Source organism: Homo sapiens, chromosome 2 (assembly GCF_000001405.40).
Source record: "Homo sapiens chromosome 2, GRCh38.p14 Primary Assembly".
Taxonomy (NCBI): domain Eukaryota; kingdom Metazoa; phylum Chordata; class Mammalia; order Primates; family Hominidae; genus Homo; species Homo sapiens.
Window position 1 is genome coordinate 130,329,346 of NC_000002.12, and position 25,022 is coordinate 130,354,367.

The following is a 25,022-nucleotide window of genomic DNA, read 5'->3' on the forward strand; positions in this document are numbered from 1 at the left end:
CAAAGGTACCAACTCTCCAAATCATGTCCACTACTCAGTATTATTTTTTCAATCCAAAGTCTTTATTCCGACATATTTTATTAAAACATGACACATTAAAATTAAGAAATATGCTTATAACTAAATGGATGTGGTTTTCAAAGTGACTGTAGAATTTTTTATTCTAACAAGCAGTGTATGAGGGTTATAGTTTCTCCACATCTTTTACGGTACTTCTTATGGTCTGCCTTTTTTATTGTCCATTTTAAAATGTTATAACCATTTAAATTCTGATTGTAACTGAATTACAACTCTCTACTCTTAGATTTAAACATTTTATATGCAGTTAATTTGAAGCACAATTACTGCATCTTAAGTTTCCATTGATGTACATAAAATTATGATTTACCAACAACCAAATAATATTTTATTATAAAAGATAAATGGTAATATCAAGAGATAATGGATATCCTTCAACAATTTTAGCTTGCAAATTAAAAATGCTTCCCAAGAGCTAAGGGCACAATTTTTATTCGCATCTAGTAGAGTCACCAACCATAAAATCATTTCTTTCAACTTTATGACTGACATTTCTCAAATAAGCTGTTCTAAATCCTGATTGTTCTTTTTTTAAATATGCATGCTGCAAGGTTGCTAATTTGCAATAGGTGTCATCATGACAATAGACTGACAAAGTATCTCACACCCTTGAATTATACTAACTCAAGAATGGATGGGAAAGCATTGCCAAAGAGAGACTAATGCTTCCATTCTTCAATGAAACTAGTAATACATCCCTATCAAGAAGAGAGTTATCTCACTTCCAGTTTCTTTCTTCCCCTCAAGAACAACTTGAATCTCTTTGGCATCCAAAGTCTCAGAGGCCAATAAAGCCTCTGCTAGATTCTTACACTCTTTTGCATGAGTGTTCAAGATATGTTTTGCTCATTCATATGAGTCCTGAAATAGAAAAGCAGATACATAAAAAGCAGAAAATGTGGGCTGGGTGCGGTGGCTCATGCTTGTAATCCCAGTACTTTGGGAGACTGAGGCAGGTGGATCGCTTGACCCTCAGGAGTAGGAGACCAGCCTGGGCAACATGGCAAAACCCCATCTGTACAAAAAATACAAAAACAAATTAGCCAGGCATGGTATCACACTCTTGTTGTCCCAGCTACTCAGGAGGCTGAGGCAGGAGGATCACTCAAACCCGGAAGACAGAGGTTGCAGCGAGCCGAGATTGTGCCACTGCACTCTAGTCCAAGTGACAGAGGGCAGACCCTGTCTCAAAAAAATGGAGGAAGGAAGGAAGGAAGGAGAAAGAAAGGAAAGAGAGAAAGAAAGATGAAAGATAAAAAAAGGAAGGAAAGGAAAGAGAAAGAAAGAAATGTAGGGGAAACAAAACCCAAACTCAATGGGTAAAGCTATAGAAACTTTATATATCCTTAAAAATGTGAAATCTATAGATTTAAATTTATAAAAGCTTGGTTTTGTAGTGTAAATAATTTGTGCATCATAAATAGTAAGGAAAAGAGAATATGCTTTCTAGAAAGGCAGAGACCTCATCTTCTGACAGTCCCTAAACCTTTCCATTATACAAACTTTCATATACTTAACTAGTCTAAAGCATTCCTTTGACCTCCTCAAATTAAAACCTGGCTCTCTCCTGCCAAGACTACCTTTCCTAAATCCTCTCAAGTGTTATTTCTTCACTTGAGGGTGAAGCAGTGAGCTCTTCGTACCCATCACCACTTCCAGACCGTTACTAACCCATCCTCTTGTAGAAAGCAGTCTTCCTGTGAAGAGACCAAACCATTCAACCAAAGTTCTATCCAACCCCCTTTGTTGTGCCATCTAACAAATACCCTAATTAAATTCTTCATTCACTAGGGACTCTGGCACTTAGCTCAGTATTCCTCTTCATTCCAAGACCTCCCTGAAAGGATCAGTAACTTCAACATCGAGATGGAACACATAACCAACATAACCAGCCTCTCCACTGAGCTACAGACCCACATATTCTACCTTGAAATCTTTAACCAAGATAGCTAAAATTCAACATGTATAAAACTAAACTCATGAAGCTGGGTACAGGGGCACACACCTGTAGTCCCAGCTACTCAGGAGGCTGAGGTGGAGGATGGTATCCTTTCAGCCTTGGAATTCAAGTCCAGCGTGGAAAGCATAGCAAGATCCTATCTCCAAAAAACAAAAACGAAAAAACTACGCACTTCCAGTCCAGTTTAGTCTCCAGTTTCTGCAGTGAAAGGCACAAACAGTTGCATGAGGCAGAAATCTGGAAAACAGCTTTAATTGCTCTTTCACCCCTCACATCCAAAACATTGCAAAGACACACTAATTCCACTACATCAGTATCTCTTGAACTCACCCACATTTCTTCATTTCTACTTTCACCAACCTAACCCAACCATCACTGCTCTGCGAGGCCAGAGTCCAGGGGTTCTCATTCCGGAATCAACTGTGTGACCTCCTTGTTGGGGGTCTCGGACAGGGCAGGAAGAAGGTGTTCCCTCCCCTTTGATTTATTTTTTATTTTTTATTTTTGTTTTTGTTTTTTTGTTTTTTTTGTTTTTGAGACGGAGTCTCGCTTTGTCTCCCAGGCTGGAGTGCAGTGGCGCAATCTTGGCTCACTGCAAGCTCCACCTCCCCGATTCAAGCGATTCTCCTGCCTCAGCCTCCCGAGTAACTGGGACTATAGGCGCCCGCCACCACGCCCAGCTAATTTTTTGTATTTTTAGTAGAGACGGGGGTTCACCATGTTGGCCAGGATGGTCTCGATCTCCTGACCTCGTGATCCACCCGCCTCGGCCTCCCAAAGTGCTGGGATTACAGGTGTGAGCCACCGCGCCCGGCCTTCATTTTTTATTAAGCACTGTGCCAGCGGTCTCCGTGGGTGTGAGCCCTTGTACTGCACGGGGTTCGAGGGACAAACTGCGACAGCATCAAGGCAGACAACACCACAGCAGTCTACAAATACTATCAAGGACTCGCGGGATGCGGTGGATCCCGGAAGAGGCTGCTGGCGCACCGACCCCGTGAGCCACCAGGCCCTGGGCCGTCCTGGCAGTGCGGTCTCCCGCCGTAAGGTGGAATGGGCCGTAGAGAGTGATTGTGTTGCCAGCCATGTGTCCGCGTTGCCTGACATGGAGCCACTCAGCCGGCTCCATGGCACCTGGAGGAGAGCCACACCCCCTCCTCACTCCTTGCCCGCTTCTGTGGAGTTTTTTGACAACCAGAAGTAGCCAATTAATTTGAGCTGCCCGAAGCACTTGATACCTTGGTTTAGGAGAAACTCTGGATGACTCAAAGTTTCACAATTTAGGAATGAGATTCACCAGACACCCGTTAGACGGCAAAACGTAGCTGTGCCCCGGACTGGTGCTGCCACCTGGTGGGGCCAGTCTGTAAGCAAGGGCGGCCTAGTGGCCGTCATTGTAGCCCACCAAACCACCCTGCTTGCTGGGCCCGCTGCTTCAATAGGTTTTATTATTATTTAGGTAACATTATTCAGATTAGGAAATGACTGATATTGAAAAGATAAGACATGAGTGACGCTGAAACATTTTACTCACAGTTCCCGAGAGAGCACGTGTTATGGGGTGGGGAGGGGTTTGATTAGCTCAGAGTGAGAGAGTCCAGTGGTTGCAAGTATGAACTTAATCGGGTGCCCAAGAAGGGAAACTGACCTCTAGCCAGGGCCTCAAAAGTGGGTCAAGGCAGCATTTTTAAAACTTTGTTATAGGAATCCACTGTTTTTGCAGTTTGTCCCTCCACGTGCTCTGTCTTGGGTTGAACAGTGTCTCCCCATCAAAAAGAAAAAAAATATCGTGTCTACCCACAACCTCAGAAGATGATTTAATTTGGGAATAGAATCTTGCAGATGTAATTAAGTTAAGGTGATTTGTACTGGATTAGAGTAGGCTCTTTTTTCTGTGTGTGTTTTTTTTTTTTTTTTTTTTTTTTTGTCTGTTTGTTTTGTTTTGTTTTGTTTGTTTGGAGATGGAGTTTCACTTTTGTTGCCCAGGCTAGAGTGCAGTAGCGCTCTCTCGGCCCACAGCAACCTCCGCCTCCTGGGTTCAAGTGATTCTTCTGCCTTAGCCTCCCAAGTAGCTGGGATTACAGGCATGCGCCACCATGCCCAGGTAATTTTGTATTTTCGGTAGAGACGGGGTTTCTCCATGTTGGTCAGGCTGGTCTCCAACTCCCAACCTCAGGTGATCCACCTGCCTCGCTCTCCCAAATTGCTGGGATTATAGGCGTGAGCCACCACACCCAGCTTAGAGTAGGTTCTATATCCAGTGACTGCTGTTCTTGCAGGAGAAGGAGAGGACACGTGGATACATATGGAGAAGAAGGCCACGTGAAGGATGGGGCCAGAGATCAGAGCGATGTAGCTACAACTCAAGGAGTGCCAGGGACAATCAGAACCACCAGAAGCTAGGACAAGCAGAGAAGCGTTCTTCCCTAGAGCCTTCAGAGGACACACAGGTCTGCCAGCACCTGGATTCCAGACTTCTGACTTTCATAACTGTGAGAGGATAAATTATGAAGTTTGTGTTAAATTACTGTGGCAGCCTAGGAAACCAATACAGACACTGGTGCCAGGAAGTAGGATGTTTCTGTAACAAATAACTAAAACGTGGAAGGAGCTTTGGAATCAGGGAGAGGCTGGAAGAAGTTTGAGGCACGTGATAGAAAAAGCCTAGAATCCATTAAGGAAACAGTTGATGGAGATGTGGACAGTAACTCTAATGAAAGCTCAGAAGGAAGTGAGAAGAGCTGTAGAGAAGCTTCTATCCTCTTAGCAGGGGTCCCCAACCCCCAGGCCAAGGACTGGTACAGGTCCCTGGCTGTTAGGAACCAGGCCACACAGCAGGAGGTGAGCGGCCAGTGATCCAGCATTACCGCCTGAGCTCCGCCTCCTGTCATACCAGCGGGGCATTAGATTCTCATAGGAGCATGAACCCTATTGGGAACTGTGCATGCTGGGGATCGAAGCTGTGCAGTCCTTATGAGAATCTAACTAATGCCTGATGATCTAAGGTGGAACAGCTTCATCCTGAAGCCATCCCATAATCCTCCCAGCCCCCCAGCCCCTGTCCCTGGTGCCAAAAAGGTTGAGGACTGATGCTCTTAGAGAATACATATATTGTCATGAACAGAATGTTAGTAGAAACCTAATGTTAAAGGTGCCTCTGGTGAGGTCTTAGAAAGAAATGAGGAACATATTCTTTGACAGCTGAGTAAAAGAGATCTTTGTTATAAAGTGGTAGAGAACTTGACTAAATTGTGTTCTGTTGTTATGTGGAAAGTAGACATGATAAATAATAAGCTTGGATATTAAACGCTTGGATATTTAGTTGAGGGAAGTGTTGAAGGTACAACCTGCTTGCTGCTAATAGGAACTGTGAGAGGAAAAAGTTACATCGAGCAAAGAACAGTCAAGCAGAAAGGAGCTGGCACTTAATGATTTAGGGGCTCTCGGGATGTCCAGATTACAAAGACTACAAAAATTAGGAAACTCACTGTTAGAAAGTGTACTCTGGAAAGAGGACCAAGGGTGTGGCTGGATAACATTTTGCTAAAGAGATTGGACATGTGACTCATGGAACCACTCCACCACCTCAGCAGAAGCCAGAAATAGAGATGGGGTTACCAAGGAAAGATCTGTGGAGGGCCCCTTTGTCTGTTGGCTGAAACCCCATGAATTATGCAGGAGACAAAGGTTTTGAGATTCTGATAGCAGTAGAAACATGGCAGCCTGGAATCTAAGGGACAGAGATGGAATGGAATAAAGGAAGGCCATGGGGCTTCCAAAATTCCACAGGCAGGCAACTGGCTGATGGAGGCATTCTGCTGCAGAAATGTTTTATCTCCCATCTTGTAATTTTCTGTTGAAAGCCAAACATGCATAAGGTGAGAGGAACTGAGGTAAATAGGCTTTTAGTGTGAAGTTTTATATTTATCTGACTAAGGAGGGAGGCTGTGTTTCTTGTTTGCTGTAGCTGTAAATGTCAGAGGCTAAAATTTCCTCTAGTGTCCTTGTTTTTGCATCCCCTGTTGCCTTTGGGTTTCCCTAGAGACTGCTTCTTACATAAATTCTGGGCCTTGCAGTTCTTTCAGCTGCAATCCCTTGTTAATATATAGGAGCCCTAAGTGATGTGGCAGTAAGATGTGGGGACAGCAGGGAGTGGTCTATAAACCCATGATCAGGGCCCAGTCTTGTTGTGAACCAGTGGTCCCTAGGCTGTGCCACTCACAAGTGCTTCTCAGCTTTTTTTTAATGTGAGTTGGAAGACTAAAGCAGACTGGAGGTGGATATTTTCCTTCCCTTGGGTTGGGTAGGCTCTGGTAGTTGCTCTGACTTTAAGCCTTTGTTAAAGAGGACAGGACGTTATGTGTGCATTTCAAAGTGGTTACACTTTCCTCCCCTTGCCAGAAGCTCCAGCAGATTTTTCTCTGATTTTCACCCAAGAACAAGATAGAATTCCTGGAGCTAAAACCCATGAGACTGTGGGGGCCCCTTAAGGCTATGTCCCCAGCATCTTTTCTCTCTTATGCTTACATGCCCAGGCTCTAGCAGTTAGTCAGTTACCCTTTAAGTTTTCCTACAGGTTGCTGGCTGCAGCAGCAGCTTCTGTGCCTGGCAAGCTGTAGCTCTGTATTTGCCTTTCCTTCTCATTTTCAGGGGAGTGGTTTGCCACGTGACCTCAATTTTCTGAGGAATCGAAGAGTTGTTGATTTTCCAGTTCGTTCAGCTTTTTTCTTGTTGTAAGGATGGAAGTGATGATTTTGAAGCTCTTTATGTGCCAGAACAAAAATTTTCATTGGTATGCTTACTAGTGATAATTATAAAAAACAAAGGTATGAATGAATGAATGAATGAGTGTGGCAGTAATTGCTGAAGACATGACCTCAGCCTTACATACAATCTCCCTGGATTAATTGAGCAAGCCAAAAAACAATGTCTTTTTTAGTTAAGAGGTCTGACTCTGTAGCCCAGGTTGGAGGGTACTGGCATGACCTCGGCTCACTGCAGCCTCAACCTCCTGGGCTCAGGCGATCCTCCAGCCTCAGCCTCCTTAGTAGCTGGGACTGAAGCTGCCGCCTCACCCAGCTGGGTTCTCCTTTCCACCGGACATGTGTTTGTGTGCTGGCACGAAGGCATCATTGAAGTTTGAAGTTGGTTTTCTGCTGGGGGAGTGGAGTCAAGCCCGGACTGTCCCAGTGAGAAAACGGGAACCCTGACTACTGGACAAAACAAAGCAGCAGCAAGAGAGAAAGGTAAATTTTTCCAGAGTGCTATGCTCCCAGTAGACTTCCTAGGACTTCCTATCCCTGCCTTGCAGAGGCAGCTCACGGACCCGAGGTGGCTCCTGCCAACCTGAGCAAGTGCGCTGGAGCGTGATGGAGGCCAGTGGGGATCTGCCTTCTGCTGGGGGTTCCACAGCAACACATTTTGAATATTTTCAATGTTATCGGGCATTTCACTACTTCTAATATTCACATCTGCGATGTATATAGCATCTAATATACTCAGTAAGCTATTGATGGTCAAAACAACTAGCTAATGTCATGATGAAAATGGTCACTGCCATCAAAACACACAGCGATGGGGCCCGGATCTCCCTGGGCCTGTTTCTCCAAGTTCAAGTGAAGAGGAAATACCCAATCTGGCCTGGAGCGTTCTAGTGGCGAAAAGTCAAAGTTCTTCTGGCGAACATTTTCAAGTTGAAAGAAAAAAATATACACCCGCAAAAAAAAAAAAAAAAGCCACTTTTGTTCCCATACCGGGAGTCGAACCCGGGCCACCTGGGTGAAAACCAGGAATCCTAACCGCTAGACCATATGGGAACTGCTGAAAGGTGACGCCACCGTGTCTGTATACGTGACATGCGTCAGCTTCACCGCCAGCGCCTCCCAACTACCACTGCGCAGCACTGAGCTCCTGCTGTCCCTGTAGAAACTCGTATGACTGCAGCCGTGCCAGACTCGCTGCATGAACCCAGTCTCTCGACTTAGCCCTGGTGGGACAAGCCACTTCCCCACAGAAGCCAGAATCCCCTTTCCTGGCGGTCTCCCCAAGAGCTGGAGTTAGGGCAGAAGGTCAGGGCAGCAAGTTAAGGATGCTTTGCTAAAGATTTGCTGTCTTCATCCAACCCTATTTGCAGAGCCCATGGCCTCGCCCTGATAGGAGGATGGCCACCTGTGAGTCCAGCCCCAAGCCAGCAGTGGGAGGCACGTGCCCACCCCAGTGTCCGCCCACAATCAGCAGCGAAGGGCGTGCTCCACGGGGTCGCACCTCCTCCTGGAAGAATTTGTGGCCCCAGCAAAATTGACTTATTTTTTTCCTTACTTTGGCTTCAGAATCTCACTAACTGGAACCTTGTGGATAGGATCTTTGTTACAAAAGGCAACCTTTGGTGAGGTTTGGGGGCAGATACCCGTTTTTCCTGCAGTCACAGGGGTTCCATTTGAGTTCCCCCATTAGTCTTTTCCCTGGCAACTCAAGGTCAACAGGGCCAATAAACGACCCCTCAACCCAACGCGAATCTGCCATACAGGGATTATGTTAAAGTTCAAGAAGTAAAACAATGTGGTACTGGTGTATTGACAGTAATGTCCACGAAACAGAATGAAAACCCCCAAATTACATTAGGTTTACACTGGGAGTTAGCAAAACAAAAGGGCAGCATTAACCGACATACAGCACGTGGGAGGATGGTGGAAAAGCTGGACATGACTCACTGGACATTTCAACTGAAACCACAGAGGTTCTTGAAAATGCTGGAGAATTCCCTGATTGCCTTATCAGTTACAAACCCAAATTCAGAATCATGTGACAGCTGGATACATTCAACTGTACGTACAAATAATGATCAAAAAACACAAAAGTTGGGTAGTGGTTACCATAGCTTTTACTGTAGTTATTCATTAAGCTATTCAACTGTTCTGTGCAGTTTGATGTTTTATTTTACAATAAAAAGTCAAAAAAAATAAGCAAAAAGATAAACTGGAAAATAAGACTTACATCTCATATATATGGACAAAGGACCAATTACCTCCAAACATAAACAGCTCCTAGAAATTACTGCAAAGATCAACAACCCAGTAGAAAAATGAATGAAGTTCCCAGAACAGAAAACACAAGTGGCCCTTCAAAAAAATGAAGAGAGGCTCAGCCTCTTATGGTAAGACAAAGAGACAGGATTTTAAAAACCTAGGCCTCTTCCTAGAGTTCCCTTAAATATCTAGGCCAGATCATTTTTACTTCCTGGCTTAGACCCTGCCAAGGGCTGCCCAGCTACTCAGGTGTTTGTGTCCTTGTGGACTCAAGTCATATTGTCCTGATCTTTTGGCTGAGTACGGTTTTCTCCTCCAGCAAAGACAATTTGGAGGATGTACTAAGCATGAAGCGCTACTTCCTGGCCCCCATCTCTCTTCGCACAGTGTTCCATCATCCAGCCATGAAAGCACAGCTGAGTGATCCAAGAGGCAGTTCCAATTGTTGACTAACGTGTACCTGCCTATGTGAGTGTGTCCTATGGGAACTCAGGCCTTAGAATGGTTTCAAAGTAGTGGCTTTCAAAATTACTGTTTGCCTCTTCAAACTTCACACCTAAGGAAAATGGAAACATGCAGAGCAGGGACACAGAAGGGGCATTAGCTGGCGTGGGGTAGGGGCAAGAGCTAATTGTGAAGGAAGAAGGCCTGAGATCACGTAGCCATGTCGGAGAACAGCTGTGCTCGCTGCCCTGCCTCTTTGCGCGCATGTCAGGCAGCCCCAGGCTCCAGCTGCTTGAGTTTCTCTTGGAGTCCCCGGAGCTGGCTTCGACCCCAGTCAATGCGGTTCTGGAGGCTGGCTATGTCTGCGGCCAGCTGCAGGCCTGGAGGAAAGGAGAGAAGGTCACCATGGTATCTGTAGTGTAACACACGACCCAGGAGGATCTGGATATCCCCAGAAATTGGAAAGGCTTCAGGCCTCTCTGCCCCCCACACTTGTCCCAAAACATTCCAGGTACGGCCCTGCATTGGCTGCTCCAGAACCTCTGAGGCCTTACACCTCCTTCAGGTCTTTGCTAAAATGTCACCTCCTTAGACTTCCTGGACCCATTATATCACCCACCAGGAACTAAAAATTCACAGATAGTAATACCATTTCATGCCCTCATTTCCTTCCTTCCCCCATTATTACAGCATCTCTCTGCCCTCACCTGCTCTCCCTCCACTTCTTTTCTCTGTTAGTCCACACTCTGGATCCACCTCTAGATGGCTTTTGCTGATGTCTCTGCTGGAACAGCTGCTGCCCAGTCCTCCGGGCAGCTCTCGTCTTCGGCCTCCTGTTCAGCAGCAGGGCTGACCACACATTGGATCACTCGCTCCAGGAAACACTTTCTCTTCTTGGCCTCCAGGACACCTGCCCCCAGGTGTTGCTCCTCAGTTTCCTTGACTGGCTTCTCCCCTCTTCTCCCTCACCTCCCGTCCATACTCCCCAGGCCCTCTGCTGATCTCATCCTATCTCAGCTTTAAACCAGTGTTTGTGTCAAAAACTTTGGAATTTAAACACCAGTGCTATGCAGTGGACTCCCAAATCTCTCTCCAGCCCAGGCCTCTCCCAAACTCCAGATACATGTGCCCAAGTGCCCACTCAGACTCTCCAGCAGGGCGTCGGTGGATACCACACAGACCACACCAACTCCTGCCTTCTGGAATCCTCTCAGCTGCCCACAGCAGGTGAGGGTCGCTCCATCCTCCCAGGGGTTCTGGGTGGAGACCGCAGGCTCTCCTGGACTCCTTTCCTTCCCTTACTCCCATATCTTATCTGTCAGCAAATTCTGGGGCTTCTATTCTTAAAACCTGTGCAGGTTCCCACCACTTACCTCCTCCTCCAGTGACGCTATCTGCTTCTCACACTGGCTGCTCCCTGACACCTACTTCCTCCCTCTGCTCTGTGTCCCCGCCCAGCACCCAAGCATTCCTGTGACCCTGTACAGCCAGTTGCACCATCCTCTGCTCAGAGCCTCTCTGTGGGTCCCACAGTCTTCATCAGGGCTTACATCACCTGACTCCACTCTAGGCCACCGGCCTCGGCACATACCAGATATATCTGGCTTCAGGGCTTTTGTCCTGGCTGGTTCCTCCATCTAGAGCACTGTTCCCCAAAATCACCCACAAAGCTTTTCCTTCACCTCCTCAGAGAGACCTCCCCTGGCCCACTCCTGTCCCACTCCATTATGTGTTTTTCATAACAATTTTCACAGCCTGACTTATGTTAAGGGCCTACTTATTTGCACGTTGCCTTTGTCTGCTTCTAAACATTACATGAAAAGTGTTTGTCTCTTTTGTTCCCTGCTGTATCCCCAGCAGCTAGCATGAACCCGAATGCTGCCAACAACCAGTAAATGCTTTTGGAAAAAATAATGGGTGTACAACGGAAGTTTGGATGGAGGAAAACCTGCAAAGCCTTTCACAGACTAACCCCAGCCATGGCAGCAGTGCTCAAGTGTTCCCTGTGGATAGAGGGTCTGAGGGCCACAGAGCCAAACAACACGGTCCACTCACCATCCCGGAAGCTTGCTTGAGCCTGACGTAGACTGTGAGGAACTAGGATTCCAAACCAGTTCAGGGGGTCCTGAGGGGCCTCAGAGGACTCCGGTTCTGGGGTCTTAGTGGGGCCCTTGCGCCTCCGCAGACCTGAGGAAAGAAAGGTTGGAGGAGGCTGGGATCTTACTCCCTGACCTTTATCATCTTGGTGACAATGTTGAGCTTGATCTGAGCTCATGATTCTATAAAACACTGTTGGTTGGAAAATTCCAACTTTGGGGTTCCAGGAAACAGCTTACCACAAAACACAGCCTTTCCCCTTGTGATTCAGATGAGACTGTTTGTCCACTCTTTCCCGTGACTCCTGTAAGACCCACTGATGACCCTGTTTGCCTGTGACACTGATCTTACCCATTGTACCTGAACATGCCAACAGACCAGACATAGACGTTCCAACTCCCCATTCTTTGTCTCAGGATGATTAACTGGGATTAGAAGTTTGTCCCTCTGAAACTAGCTAGACACACAGATAAATATTTTCTGTTCAGCTGACTGAAATGTATGTGATTGTAAATCTATTCCCAGTGTAAAGCAACTCACCAACAATTTCTCTACTTCCTATAAAAGTCTAAGGCAAAACCACCCTACAAAAACATTCTGTTCTTCTGCTCTGGGATGCTCTCTCTTATCGCAAAAACCTAATTTAAATCATCTCCATAATTTGCATTTTGTCTTTGACACTGGGAAGGGGTTCTGCAGAAGGAAGAGGGGGCTCACCTGCTTCGCGAGGCCCCACCTCCTCTGGGGCGTGGACACCAGCTCTCACCACCTTGAACTTCTGGAGTCCCTCCTGGGCCTCGCTGAAGGACGAGAAGGGAGGATGGAGCTTTGGCAGCCCGGGCCTAGAACGCGCCCGCCCGCCCACCCAGCCCAGCATGGAAGCTTCCTCACCTGGCGTGGAGGCAGACCTGGGGCTCCATGTGGGAAGCATACTGCAGGGGCCCTACCGACTTGGCGCCCATCGCGTAGCGAGCCTTGGCGAGCGAGAGCCAGCCCTGCAGGGAGAGGAAAGCGGTGAGACTCAGTTTACGCCCGTGTACCCTCCTGCCCGCCCCAGGCGCCTACCTCCTCCACCCGGGCGTTCAACACCGTTCGTTTCCCCTCCAGCTCCTCCAGGTCCCCAAGCAGCTGCAGGACCAGCGAATCCAGCTCCGCTCGCAGGTCAAGCGCCGCCATGGACACACCTCCAGATCTGGAGCCACCTTCTTCCTTGTCACCCTCCGCAGTTTGGCAGGACAGCCAATAGGCACACGAGATCCTCCATCAAGGGGCGTTCCCATCTGGGGATCCCCACGCCGGCAGCACCAAGGCCTCTGGGTCAGCTTCTTTAAGGGCAAGCGCCCTTAGAGAAGCAGCACGGAAGCAACCAATCAACTGGTTTCTCCAATTAGCCCCCAAGTGGATCAGCCTGCTGAACTGTCGGCTAGGGTTATAGGTGGTTCTGAGTCCTTCCGGAAGCTGCCGAATCTTAGAAGTCGCGCCACTGTTGTGGCGATGGAAGAAGGCGAAGCTCTACAGAAACCATTTTGGTTGAGGGAAGAGTGGTTTTAAAGTTAATTTGGAAAGGAGCCGGCAAGCAACCTTCAGTCGGTGTGCGGTTTTTACAGTTGAACTGTTTCCAGCCGCTAATTATGATTGTTTTAGCGGTTCGTCATCTGAAAACTGCATTCTGCACGGCGGTGGTGGGGGGAGGACGAGGATGGAGAAGCCTGGGCGGACATATTTATTAGCTGCGGTCCTAAGTCACGTGTGACATTCTGTATCCAGTCTATCGGTTATCCCAAGGAGAACGCCCTGCCGGAATGGCCAATCGCCTTGAGATGTCCCCGCCCTATTCGCCATCTTAACATAGGGCATTCCCCACAGCTGCAGGCACCAGTGAAGCGTCTAAGGGACCATCTTGGTTGAGGGCGGAAGTGAGGACTGTGTCGCGCTGGAGGAGCCCACAGATTCTCCCGGACCCACGTGGAAGCGGCACTCAAGATGGTAGGAGAATGAGCTCCTGTTTCGGAGGTCCGGGGCGCGTGAAGTGCTGGGGATGTGGCTCTGGGGACTTGGAGGCTCAGCGGCTCCGGGGCTCCGGGGTTCCGGGGCTCGGGAGCGAGTAGTGAGTGACTGGGCCTGCTGTTCCCACAGCTGCGCCGCGAGGCCCGCCTGCGCCGCGAGTACCTGTACCGCAAGGCCCGGGAGGAGGCGCAGCGCTCAGCCCAGGAGAGGAAGGAGCGGCTGCGGCGCGCGCTGGAAGGTAAGGCATCGGCCCCGCGGGCGTCTGCGTGGTAAACCACCCCGGCACGCATTTGTGTTCGAATATCCGAGCGTCTTTCCAAATGCTTGCCGGCCGTTTTCCTTGCCCATTGGGTTCTCCTGTTGGTTTTGAGAGTGTTTCTTCCGTGTGATGGTATTAATTACTTGTCACTGACGTTGCAGTACCCGGGTTTTGCAGCTTGCCCGCTGTGTGCAGTGTGTCAAGTTCGTCCCAAGTTTTAAAGACTTTATCTTGTCCTGTAGAAATTCTCTTTAGAGCGGTGGCTCACTGCTGTAATCCCAGCACTTTGGGAGGCCGAGGCGGGCGGATCATGAGGTCAGGAGTTCGAGCCTGACCAACATGGTGAAATCTCGTCTCTACTAAACATACAAAAATTAGCCGGCCGTGGTGGCACGCGCCTGTAATCCCAGCTACTCAGGAGGCTGAGGCAGGAGAATCGCTTGAACCCGGGAGGCGGAGGTTGCAGTGAGCCGAGATCCTGCCACTGCACTCCAGCCTGGGCAAAAAAGCAAGACTCCGTCTCAAAAAAAAAAAAAAAAAGAAATTCTCTCTAAAGACTATCTGGATAGCGCTGGTGCTGCAGACTGCGCTGCCCATCCTCCCTGCAGGAGTTCCTCTGAGCTCCGTGGGGAACAGTGCTGGCCCCGAGTGCGCACCTGGAGCGCTGTGCTCTGCGGTAGGCAGCCTGTGGTCCAGGGCCCGCTGAAGCCATGCCTTCGAAGCGCTGTGGGCATCGTGACCAACGGTTTTGCTGTCTGAGAGCTTAAAGGTCTCTGGTCCACCATCATACGTACAGAACAGTCTATATTTCTTTTCAAAAGTAATTTTTAAGGCCGAGCGCTGTGGCTCACGCCTGTAATCCCAGCACTTTGGGAGGCCGAAGCGGGTGGATCACGAGGTCAGGAGATCGAGACCATCCTGGCTAACACGGTGAAACCCCGTCTCTACTAAAAATATAAAAAATTAGCCGGGCGCCGTGGCGGGCTCCTGTAGTCCCAGCTACTCGCCAGCCTGAGGCAGGAGAATGGCGTGAACCCAGGAAGCGGAGCTTGCAGTGAGCCGAGATGGCACCACTGCACTGCTCTGCCTGGGTGACAGAGCGAGACTCCGTCTCAAAAAAAAAAAAAATCGATGTTTAGATTTCTACCTGATTATAAAAGCAATACAGTACATTAAGATATTTTAGAAAGTCCTCAAGTCATGAGACTAAAGAAAATGAAGTCCTAGTAACCACTGTTTATGGGGGTTGGCCTGTAGAAAGTTTTGTCACCTCTATCCATGCTTTATCCAAGCTCAGAAAGGGCTGAGGTATTTTTATTTCAAGCATGTGCAGGCTAATAAGCTGTGGTGTATTGGATGAGCTGAGGTCTCCATGCTTGTGACTCACTCAGCCCCTCTCTCTTCCCTCTGCAGAAAACCGCCTGATTCCCACTGAGTTACGCCGAGAGGCTCTGGCCTTACAGGGGTCCCTGGAGTTTGATGATGCTGGAGGTGAAGGTAACTATACAAGGTAGCCCTCCCCAACACTGAGCTGGCAGGTCTCCAGTCCTTCCTCAGACACACCGGGCACCATCCCATCAGAGGAAACTGCTCCTGGAACTGTCCCCCATGCCCTTGTCACTGCACAGATGGCATTGCAGGGCTCTCCCTGAGTGTGCCCTGTCCCACTTACATGGCACACATGGGAGTGCCTCACTGACTCTGCACCTGGCTTGTTAATTACCTCCCCCACTGGAGTGCCTGCTGGGGAAAGACAGTGTCCCTCACACATTATTGGTGCCCATACGTTTATTCACTGCATTATTCAAGAAACAAGAAAGGAATCCCAAACATTATAGATATTTGTTACGAGGGAAAAGAGTTTGTCACCGTTGGCCTTAGCAGAGTGTGGATTTCGTTGTGTAATGGAGTAGCTGCTTAGCCCCATGTGACTAATATAGCTTAAGCAAACTACAATTAAACAAAAGATTCTGTTTCTCAGCCACGCTTGTGCTCAGCAGCCAGAGTAGTTGGAGGCTGCCCTCTTGCCCGGTGTGCATGTGGAGCATTCCTATTGTTGAAGGCTTCGGCAGACAGCGACATCCAGGCGGTCTTGGCTGCCCCGAAGTTAGCATTTCATTCCCAAGACTGTCATGTTCTTGCCCCTCGTGCTCCTGACAGGTGTGACCAGCCACGTGGATGATGAATACCGATGGGCAGGAGTCGAGGATCCCAAGGTTATGATCACTACCTCCCGAGACCCCAGTTCCCGCCTCAAGATGTTTGCAAAGGTACTGGTGAGCAGGGAGTGAGGGAGAGACACCCAGGACACACAGCCCCAGTCCTGACTGTACACTGCCATCCACGCCCAGGAGCTGAAGCTGGTGTTCCCGGGCGCCCAGCGAATGAACCGAGGTCGACATGAAGTGGGGGCACTGGTGCGAGCCTGCAAAGCCAACGGCGTCACCGATCTGCTGGTCGTTCACGAGCATCGGGGCACACCTGGTAAGGCCGGAGGGAGGGAGTCGGGGTGGGAGCCGTCTGAGGGCAGACGGGGTCTCTGACAGCCACCTTTCCCCGCCAGTGGGGCTCATCGTCAGCCACCTGCCCTTTGGTCCTACTGCCTACTTCACGCTGTGCAATGTGGTCATGCGGCATGACATCCCAGACCTGGGCACCATGTCGGAGGCCAAGCCCCACCTCATCACACACGGCTTCTCCTCCCGCCTGGGCAAGCGGGTGAGTCTGGGGGCCTTCAGGCTGGGGCTGCGGGCCAGGCCAGGCATTTGCCACTCTGTTTCCCTCTCTTTCCTTGTGCCCCAGGTCTCTGACATCCTCCGATACCTATTTCCCGTGCCCAAAGATGACAGCCACCGGGTCATCACCTTCGCAAACCAGGACGACTACATATCATTCCGGTGGGTCCACGGGCCATGCCCCAGGAAAGCATCCCCACCCTGTGTACCTCGTGCTGCTTGCCGTTGACCCACAGCTGTTCCCTCCCAGGCACCATGTGTATAAGAAGACAGACCACCGCAACGTGGAGCTCACTGAGGTCGGGCCCCGCTTTGAGCTGAAGCGTGAGTTTGAGGCTGAATCCCGTGTCTGGGGTGGGGAGGGGAGGCTGGCTGTGCCGGGGCTGATGCCATCCCTGCCTGCAGTGTACATGATCCGTCTGGGCACGCTGGAGCAGGAGGCCACAGCAGACGTGGAGTGGCGCTGGCACCCTTACACCAATACCGCACGCAAGAGAGTCTTCCTGAGCACCGAGTGAGCACACTCACCACTCAGTCAGGACATGGACTTGGAACTCAGGATGGGGCTGTCATAGACAGACCCACCAGTAGGAACTGTCACAGAATGGCCTGCTGAACTGGGATGTGGAACTGTGGCGGGTGGAGAGGTCTGAATAAACCGTCTGTGTCATGGCCCCGCCTGCCTCTGAGTGGTCAGGCCAAGTCTGCAGGGCAAAGCCCATGGGATCCCTTTGGGTGGGGACCTGATGGCTGTGGGACGTGCTTGGGCCTGGAGTCAGTGTGGGGGTTAACAGAGAGAGAGATTTGATGCTAACGTCCCCTCAAGAGTGAGGGTCATATGAGCTCTTCAGCAGGCAGATGTGGGTAGCAGGGCCAGCCTGTGTCAGGGGCAGCCCACCAAGTTAACTCACTGAGTGGAAGCCGCCAGTGTGCCAACGCGGAGGGGACAGGCCACACCCAGTGCTCAGCAGCTGATTCCTCATGTAAGTGGCATCATGTGGTATTTGTTTTGTGTCTGGCTTATTTCTATTAACATAATGTTCTCCAGGTTCCTCCATGTTATTGCAAATGATAGGATTTCTTTCCTTGTAAAAAATAACATGCCACATTTTCTTACCAATCCGTCCACCAATAGACACTTAGGTCGTTTTCATAGTTTGGCAGTTGTGGAAATGCTGCAGTAAACATGGGAGTATAGCTATCTTTTGAAGATAATGATTTCATCTCTTTTTTATATGTATACCCAGAAGTGGGATTGCTGCATCAAATGGTGGTTCTATTTTTAATTTTTTGAGGAACCGCCATACTGTTTTCCATAAAGGCTGTACTAATTTCCATTCTCACCAACAGTTCACTAGGGTTCCCTTTTCTCCACATTGTTGCCAACATTCTTTATCTTGTGTTTTTTAATAACAGCTATCCTAACAGGTATGAGGTGATCTCTCTCATTGCGGTTTTGATTTGCATTTCCCTAACGGTTGGTGATACTGAGCATTTTTGCATACACCGGGTCATTTGTTCTTTGTTGTTGACTTGAGTCCCTTATATAGTTTGGATACTGCTGTGGCCTGAATGTTTGTGTCCCCCAAAAATTCGTATATTGAACTCTCATCCCTAAGGTCAACAGTTTAGGGAAGCGATTAGGTCCTGAGGACTCTGCCCTCTTGCATAGAATTAGTGCTCTTATAAAAGATGCCCGAGGGAGCTCTTTTGCCCCTCCTGCCATGTGAGGACACAGCTAGAAGCTACCATCTGTGAACCAGGAAGCCCCCCTCACCAGACACTGAATCTGCTGGAGCCACCATCTTGGACTTCCCAGCCTCCAGAGCTGTGAGAAATAAATGCCTGTTGTTTAAGCTACCCAGTCTGTGGTATTTTGTTAGAACAGCCCAAGTTGAGACAGATAGTAACCCTTTACCAGATACATGGTTTGCAAATAGTTTTTCCCACTCTGTAGATATAGCCATTGAGAAGCTCCTCAAGATAGACATTAAATACAAAGAAGCATGGTGTGAAACGCCATGTGTGATATGCTGTCAGTGTGCAAAAGAGGCAGGGAGGGCCCTGCACTTGCATGTATGTGCTGCATCATCCCCAGAAGGCTGAACTCCTTGCTGGTGCACTGGGTACCCAGGGAGGAGGGAGGTTCTTTACTGTAATGTTAGCAGGTGAACATTGTATCCACTTGACCACGAAGAACTGCCCTCTTGAGTTCTCTGCCCATTTTTTGGGGGGGTACAGGCGGACACTTGGAAGACATCCTTATGATAAAAAAGCATACAGAAGGCCTGGTGCAGTCACTCACACCTGTAATAATCCCAGCGCTTTGGGAGGTCAAGGCAAGGAGGTTCACTTGAAGTCAGGAGTTTGAGACCAGCCTGGGCAATACAGGGAGAGCTCATCTCTACAAAACATTTTTAAAAACACACACAAGTGCACATGGTGAAAAGTAAACCATCATCCTCCTTCCACCCCAAAGAACCCATCCCTAGTCTCCAGAGGTCATCAGTATTGACTTTTTAAAGAAGCTGGACTGATATCTTTTATTCATGGTATCCATAAGTTTGTTGACTGTTAATTATATTTTAACCTGAAAGGGATCATGTTGTGCACACTACTCTGAACCTTGCATCTTACCCTTTAATGACAAATGGATGCCACAGGGCTCCAAGGCTGTCTAGTACACATGGATCTGCCTCCTTCCTTGTGGCTACATTGTTGGGTGGCTTCCTGTTTTTACCCCCACAAATACTGCTTCGAGAGCATCATTGAACATACTTCTGTGCATATTTATGCAAGTGTATCTGATGCATACATCCCTACAAGAGGAATTCGGGCGTGGTGGCTCACACCTGTAATCCCAGCACTTCGGGAGGCTGAGGCGGGCGGATCACCTGAGGTCCGGAATTCAAGACCAGCCTGGCCAACATAGTGAAACCCCATCTCTACTAAAAATACAAAAAATTGACCTGGCATGGTGGCGGGTGCCTGTAATCCCAGCAGCTCAGGAGGCTGAGGCAGGAGAATCGCTTGAACCCGGGAAGTAGAGGTTGCAGTGAGCCAAGATCACGCCATTGCACTCCAGCCTGGGCAACAAGAGCAAGACTCCGTCTCAATAAAAAGAAAACACTAAAATAAAATGATAGTAGAGGTTGTGTCTCTCCACAGGCACCATCACAAGATGTGAGCACCTGCTCCCCAGGTGAGCCCTGGGCATCATCAGAGGTTTTAACCTCTGTCACGCACTAGGTGCAAAATGTTTCCCCAATTGCATTTGCATTTCTTTAGTTACTCTGGAGGTTGTGCCTCTTTTCAAATACTTACTGGCCTTGTGTGTTATGTATTTTCTGTGATGGGTCTGCTCTCCTTATAGATGCATTTGTTCACCTCTAGATTGATTGTTTTAAATCTTGTTAGTTGTGGAAAATTTGAAACATACAAGAGCAGAGAAGATGGTATAGTGAGTCGCTGAGCCGGTTTTGATGTGAGCCAGTCTTCATAGCTCACCCACTCCCTGTATCCACTCCACCAGTTTTTAAAGTAGATCTCAGACATCAGAGCATTTCATCCATATGTATTTCCATGTATATCTCTAAAAGATAAGGACTCAACAACAACAAAAAAATTATTACACATAAAATTATCAATGATCATTCCTTTATATCATCAGATATCCACTTAATGTTCAGCTTGCCTTGATTAGAGTGTGCTTGTTTCGACTAAGATCGACATCAGGTCCATTCATTGCAAATAATTGACAAGTCTTTTAAAAACAGCTTTATTGCGATAGTCAACATATTACACAATTCACAGCGCAGGTTGAACTCACAGCCTTGTGCGCCCGTCCCTGTGCATCAATGATTTTTTAAAAATCATATTCATAGGGCTGTGTAACCATCACCACAATCTAATTTTGGAACATTTTTTGTCCCCCTCTGCCCCCACTGCCCCGGAGAGAAACCCCATACGCATTAGCTGTCACTCTAATCCCCTCCCTCCCACCAGGCCCCAGCCCCTCTGGCAACCACTAGTCTACTTTTGGCCAGACTCTGCTGAGACATTAGAACAGGATTTATTTATTTATTTTATTTTATTTTATTTTTGAGACGGAGTCTCGCTCTGTCGCCCAGGCTGGAGTGCAGTGGTGCAACCTCGGCTCACTGCAAGCTCCGCCTCCCGGGTTCACGCCATTCTCCTGCCTCAGCCTCCCGAGTAGCTGGGACTACAGGTGCCTGCCACCACACCTGGCTCATTTTTTGTATTTTTAGTAGAGACGGGGTTTCACCGTGTTAGCCAGGATGGTCTCGATCTCCTGACCTCATGATCTGCCCACCTCGGCCTCCCAAAGTGCTGAGATTACAGGCGTGAGCCACTGTGCCCAGCCTTAGAACAGGATTTTTTTTTTTTAATTAATACTTTTGGTCTCTATAGATTTGCTGTTTCTGAACATTTCATGTAAATGGAATAATACGTCTTTTCTGACTGGCTTCTTCCACTTAGCATAATGTTTTCTAAGCTTATTCACAGTGTAATTTATTTATGTCAGCACTTCATTTCTTTTCATTGCCAAATAATATTCCATGTATGTCCCTATACATGGGGTATTATTATATGCCACATTTGATCCATCAGTTGATGAAATTTAGGTTGTTTGCCACATTTGGGCCATTGTGAACAATGCTGCTATGAGCATTTGTGTGTTAAGTCTTGAGTCTCTCTATAAGATTGTCTGTTTCTTTGCAGTTTACTCAGTTAGGAAACTGGTTTGTCTTAATAGACCTTTCACCGTCTGGATGTTGCTGATCTTAACACTGTGGTGTCATTTAACATTTTTGTCTGCCGTTGTGTTTTCTCTGAATTAATATTGAGATCTAGAGGCTCAATCAGATATACCTGCAAATTTTTTTAGCAGTAATACTTGATGAGGGTGTTATGTTCTTTCATTAGGAATCTCAGTGCCTGCCTGGGAGTCGTTTTTGTGATGTCAGTAGGCAGTATTATTGCATAGCTCCATTAATTTATTAGGGGTTCAAACTTGGTGCCTATTTCTCAAGAAATTAATATGGAAGCTTTTTGCATTACAGTTTCAAATTCATTAAACTGGTGTGTGTAAGTACTTAGTGTAGTTTTTTTCTTTTTTTTTTTTTTTTGAGATGGAGTCTCGTTCTGTTGCCCAGGCTGGAGTGCAGTGGCGCAATCGCTGCTCACTCCGCCTCCGGGGTTCAAGCGATTCTCCTGCCTCCGCCTCCCAAGTAGCTGGGACTACAGGCGCCCGCCACCATGCCTGGCTAATTTTTTGTATTTTTAGTAGAGATGAGGTTTCACCATGTTAGCCAGGATGGTCTCGATCTCCTGACCTCGTGATCCACCCACCTCGGCTTCCCAAAGTACTAGGATTACAGGCATGAGCCACCACGCCTGGCCTAGTTAGTGTATTTTAACTAGCTACCTTATTAAATTTTCTCATAAGTCCTTACAGTTTTTCATAAGAGTTTCTAAAACTTTGTAGCTGATTATGCTATATGCCAGTTAGCATTTCTGATGGGCCCCTCCCTCCTTTCTCCTTGCCACCCTGCATTGCCTAGGACTTCAGAACACCCTGGTCAGCAGCAGCAGTGAGGGTGCCCCCTCATTATAGGAATCCTTCCAGAGGTGTTTACACTCACCCAAGCATGGATGCACACTCATTTCTCTCTGGTGTTATAATTGATGGGCAGACAGCAATGCACACGGATCCATGCATCCCTTTGGTTGTCCTGGGAACTGCACTCAGCCATGACACATGGGCTGTGCAATCAGGGCCCACAGACACGGCCCTCATCTGTGCAGGACCCTGGCCGGCATTTGCTGACAATAACATGGCCAGTTGGTCTTTTCTAAATAAAGCACCGCATACAGAGGAAGTATGCTGAAGCTGGGCTAGCATCAGGTGTAGAAACTGCAGGCTGAGGAGGCAGCAGCCTGACCCGGCCTGTCAGTCATGGAAGTCCCAGAGTGCTGCCAGCGTTGCTGTTAGAGCACTTGTCTGCCCGAGTTTATTTCCTCCAGGGGCACATCGGGGGCCTGCTCTGGGCCATGCAGATGCCCAGGCTCTGCCCTGGAGTAGTGGGGGAAAAGTTGGTATGAGCATTTTAAAGATGGGGAAGAGGGCTTTCCCCTCTATTCCTAGTGGTTTCCCCTCCTTTCTGAAGCAGAATTGCAGGACAGCTCCCGAGGGCAGCAGGTCAGCCTCCACAAAGAGCTGGGGGTTGTGGGGTTTGGTGGTAGCGCTGAGAAGGGGTAGGGTGGCTTTCTCTTTGGCCTCTTTCTCTTTGGCTTTCTCTTTCCACCGCGCTGAGCTGCTGACCCTTTCCCATGGAGCGATCAGGAGGAGTCTTTGATTCAGAACACTGAAACCTGGCACGCCTGAGGAGAGTTAGAGGAGACAGGAACAAAAGCTCTCCCAGAGGACTTAGAGCTCTCAGGCATCGGACGGGAGGGGGACACAGCCACATGCTTCCTCTTGCACTGAAGAGGGTTGCCTTTTTCCTGTTTGCTAAATGCCAGACTTGTGGATGGACCAACAGGACAACTTGCCCAGCTTGAAGGTTTTTAACAGAATGAAGCAATGGGAAAATGTTTTCAAATTTATGCCCCCCCTTCCACTTTTGTTTTAACTTAGAGGAGGGAGTAAGGAGGTGGGCGTGGCAATATCAGAAAGGGAAACTAGCAGTGTAATAATAATATTAATAGTACCAAGTGTATACTGCAAGCCAAGTGCTGTTCTATCTAAATGCTTTATATACAATGATTTCCTTAAATTCTCACAATAAAGCAACAAGAAGAGACACAGTCCTACAGAGGAGGAAATTGAGACATAGAAATTAAATGACTTGCCCAAGGTCATACTGAGAAAGTCATGGTGCCAGAATTCTAACTCAAACATTTTGGTTCCAGTCTTCTGCCCTTTTTTTATTTTTATTTATTGATTTTTTTTTTTTGAGGCGGAGTCTTGCTCTGTCGCCCAGGCTGGAGTGCAGTGGCACAATCTCGGCTCACTGCAAGCTCCGCCTCCCGGGTTCAAGCCATTCTCCTGCCTCAGCCTCCCGAGCAGCTGGGACTACAGGTGCCCGCCACCACGCCCGGCTAATTTTTTGTACTTTTAATAGAGAACGGGGTTTCACTGTGTTAGCCAGGATGGTCTCTGCCCTTTTTTAACTAAGCAAAAAAGGAAGCTGGAGAAGAACTGTACCCTGGAGATGCCAGCAGTCTCCAAGGAGCTCCCCGCAAGCATCCCAGAGGAAGGGGTGTCTGCCAGGGGTCTCCACTGTAGTTTCTCTTTTCCCCTTTGCAGGCTCAGAGCAGGCTGAACTCACAGCCTTGTGCACCTGTCCCTGTGCATCTTCCTCTACCTTGTCCTCTTGGCTCTGTTGAGCGGCCCATGTAGCCACACTGACTGGTGGGCAGGTGACAGACTGGCACATGGCACGTGGGCTTTGGTACACTTGGGGTCTCTGTAGCAGTGCCAGCAGCTCCCACTGTGCAAGACTGCTGCTGGCAGCGTGAACAGGAGGGCCACCAGCAGCAGTGAGTCTCATTGCAAGAACACAGCTGGCAGTCCTCCGGGAGAGAAAAGCCGGGGTGGGCCAGGGCCTCTGGAAGATGTGGGGTCTTCCCATCCCCCACACCTAGCCTGAGCTGAACAGAGGGCAAGCTAAGAGTTTGGATGTTTGGAGAGACATGAGGAACGGTCAGGTGTCAGGAGGACAGGTGGGTTAAACAACAAGGTGGGGCTTGGAGTGAGGGTGAACACGAGGACAGAAAGACACTCAAGGCAGCTGGAAGTACAAATGGCAGACTACAGCCTCAGCCACTTAATGTTCACAGGCCACAAGGCAGCATCTGGCTAGTCACTCAGATCCTCTAATAGACAAACCACCAAACACACACACACACACACACACACACACACACCCTGGCTGGACAGACTTCCAGATGGACAGAATCCCAGGGAAACACCCAGCTGGACAAACAGACAGATTACTGACAGATGGGTAGACCCTCAGCCAGACATCCAAATAGGCCTGTGGCCAGAGAGACACCTGGGCCCCCCAGCCAGGCAAAGGTCAGAATCCCTCAAGGACAGGTGCCCTCCCCAAAATGGACAGAGACATTACCCCAGAGGAGAGAACACCCCACCCACCTAGTCAACCAGACCTTCAGCTGGACGACATGCCCTCCACCAGTCAGACAGACCTCAGCCTATGAGGACAGGCCCTCAACAGGATCCCTGCTGCTGGACAGAGATCCTCTAGCCCATAAAGACTGCCCTGAATAACCATGTGTGCTCAGGGGCTCACATTTTCCCAGAAAATGTCTTTATTTTCTGAAAGCTTACTGATGCTTCTGTATTCTACCTCCCTGGATCTCCATGGCCA

General features: G+C 48.6%; 2 protein-coding genes and 1 non-coding gene across 22 annotated transcripts, besides 4 other annotated features; 1 reads left to right on the forward strand and 2 right to left on the reverse strand.

Moving 5' to 3' along the window:
* Positions 3,050-3,600: an enhancer, noted in NCBI's record as "H3K4me1 hESC enhancer chr2:131089968-131090518 (GRCh37/hg19 assembly coordinates)". NCBI's record gives its function as "activates a minimal SCP1, AML or CMV promoter by ChIP-STARR-seq in primed H9 embryonic stem cells {active_cell/tissue: H9 hESC(primed)}" and the evidence as "EXISTENCE:reporter gene assay evidence [ECO:0000049][PMID:30033119]".
* Positions 7,582-7,641: an enhancer, noted in NCBI's record as "active region_16525". NCBI's record gives its function as "activates an Ori minimal core promoter by ATAC-STARR-seq in GM12878 lymphoblastoid cells {active_cell/tissue: GM12878}" and the evidence as "EXISTENCE:reporter gene assay evidence [ECO:0000049][PMID:35858748]".
* On the reverse strand, positions 7,783-7,854 carry TRE-TTC1-1 (tRNA-Glu (anticodon TTC) 1-1). The gene has a single exon. It is a non-coding gene; the product is annotated as a tRNA-Glu (tRNA).
* On the reverse strand, positions 8,588-13,336 carry VMA22 (vacuolar ATPase assembly factor VMA22). Of its 5 annotated transcripts, none has more exons than NR_104471.1 (6): positions 12,789-13,336; positions 12,496-12,599; positions 12,322-12,404; positions 11,563-11,694; positions 10,215-10,417; positions 8,588-9,887 (listed from the first exon to the last, which is right to left on the reverse strand). NR_104471.1 is itself a non-coding variant. In NM_001321118.1 (5 exons), the coding sequence occupies exons 1-5, from the start codon at positions 12,882-12,884 to the stop codon at positions 9,775-9,777; spliced, it is 528 nt and encodes a 175-aa protein (NP_001308047.1). In that variant the 5' UTR covers positions 12,885-13,336; the 3' UTR covers positions 8,588-9,774. The 5 variants fall into 5 exon arrangements, 3 of the variants coding, with proteins under 3 accessions (NP_001308047.1, NP_001308048.2, NP_115733.2); NR_135548.2 differs by having other exon boundaries at positions 12,670-12,819; NM_001321118.1 differs by lacking the exon at positions 10,215-10,417.
* Positions 12,735-13,284: an enhancer, noted in NCBI's record as "active region_16526". NCBI's record gives its function as "activates an Ori minimal core promoter by ATAC-STARR-seq in GM12878 lymphoblastoid cells {active_cell/tissue: GM12878}" and the evidence as "EXISTENCE:reporter gene assay evidence [ECO:0000049][PMID:35858748]".
* Positions 13,415-13,584: an enhancer, noted in NCBI's record as "active region_16527". NCBI's record gives its function as "activates an Ori minimal core promoter by ATAC-STARR-seq in GM12878 lymphoblastoid cells {active_cell/tissue: GM12878}" and the evidence as "EXISTENCE:reporter gene assay evidence [ECO:0000049][PMID:35858748]".
* IMP4 (IMP U3 small nucleolar ribonucleoprotein 4) lies at positions 13,552-18,622 on the forward strand. 16 transcript variants are annotated; one of them, NM_001320307.2, is made up of 9 exons: positions 13,552-13,617; positions 13,741-13,849; positions 15,284-15,380; positions 16,031-16,140; positions 16,222-16,354; positions 16,434-16,588; positions 16,673-16,767; positions 16,856-16,929; positions 17,011-18,622. In NM_001320307.2, the coding sequence occupies exons 3-9, from the start codon at positions 15,350-15,352 to the stop codon at positions 17,121-17,123; spliced, it is 711 nt and encodes a 236-aa protein (NP_001307236.1). In that variant the 5' UTR covers positions 13,552-13,617; positions 13,741-13,849; positions 15,284-15,349; the 3' UTR covers positions 17,124-18,622. The 16 variants fall into 16 exon arrangements, with proteins under 16 accessions (NP_001307236.1, NP_001307239.1, NP_001307240.1 ...); NM_001320310.2 differs by having other exon boundaries at positions 15,284-15,367; NM_001320311.2 differs by having other exon boundaries at positions 15,284-15,367; positions 16,231-16,354.
* The last annotated feature ends 6,400 nt before the right edge of the window (positions 18,623-25,022 follow it).

Bases quoted from the DNA above. Each gene is read 5' to 3' on its own strand.
- VMA22 (NM_032357.4), bottom strand. From the start codon at position 12,780: ATGGCGGCGCTTGACCTGCGAGCGGAGCTGGATTCGCTGGTCCTGCAG. The intron at 12,600-12,669 runs GTAGGCGCCTGG...CTCTCCCTGCAG, and splicing joins TGAACGCCCGGGTGGAGGAG to GGCTGGCTCTCGCTCGCCAA. The intron at 9,888-11,562 runs GTGAGTGGACCG...CCTTTCCTCCAG, and splicing joins TCAAGCAAGCTTCCGGGATG to GCCTGCAGCTGGCCGCAGAC.
- IMP4 (NM_001371725.1), top strand. The intron at 16,141-16,221 runs GTACTGGTGAGC...ATCCACGCCCAG, and splicing joins GCCTCAAGATGTTTGCAAAG to GAGCTGAAGCTGGTGTTCCC. The intron at 16,768-16,855 runs GTGGGTCCACGG...GTTCCCTCCCAG, and splicing joins GACGACTACATATCATTCCG to GCACCATGTGTATAAGAAGA.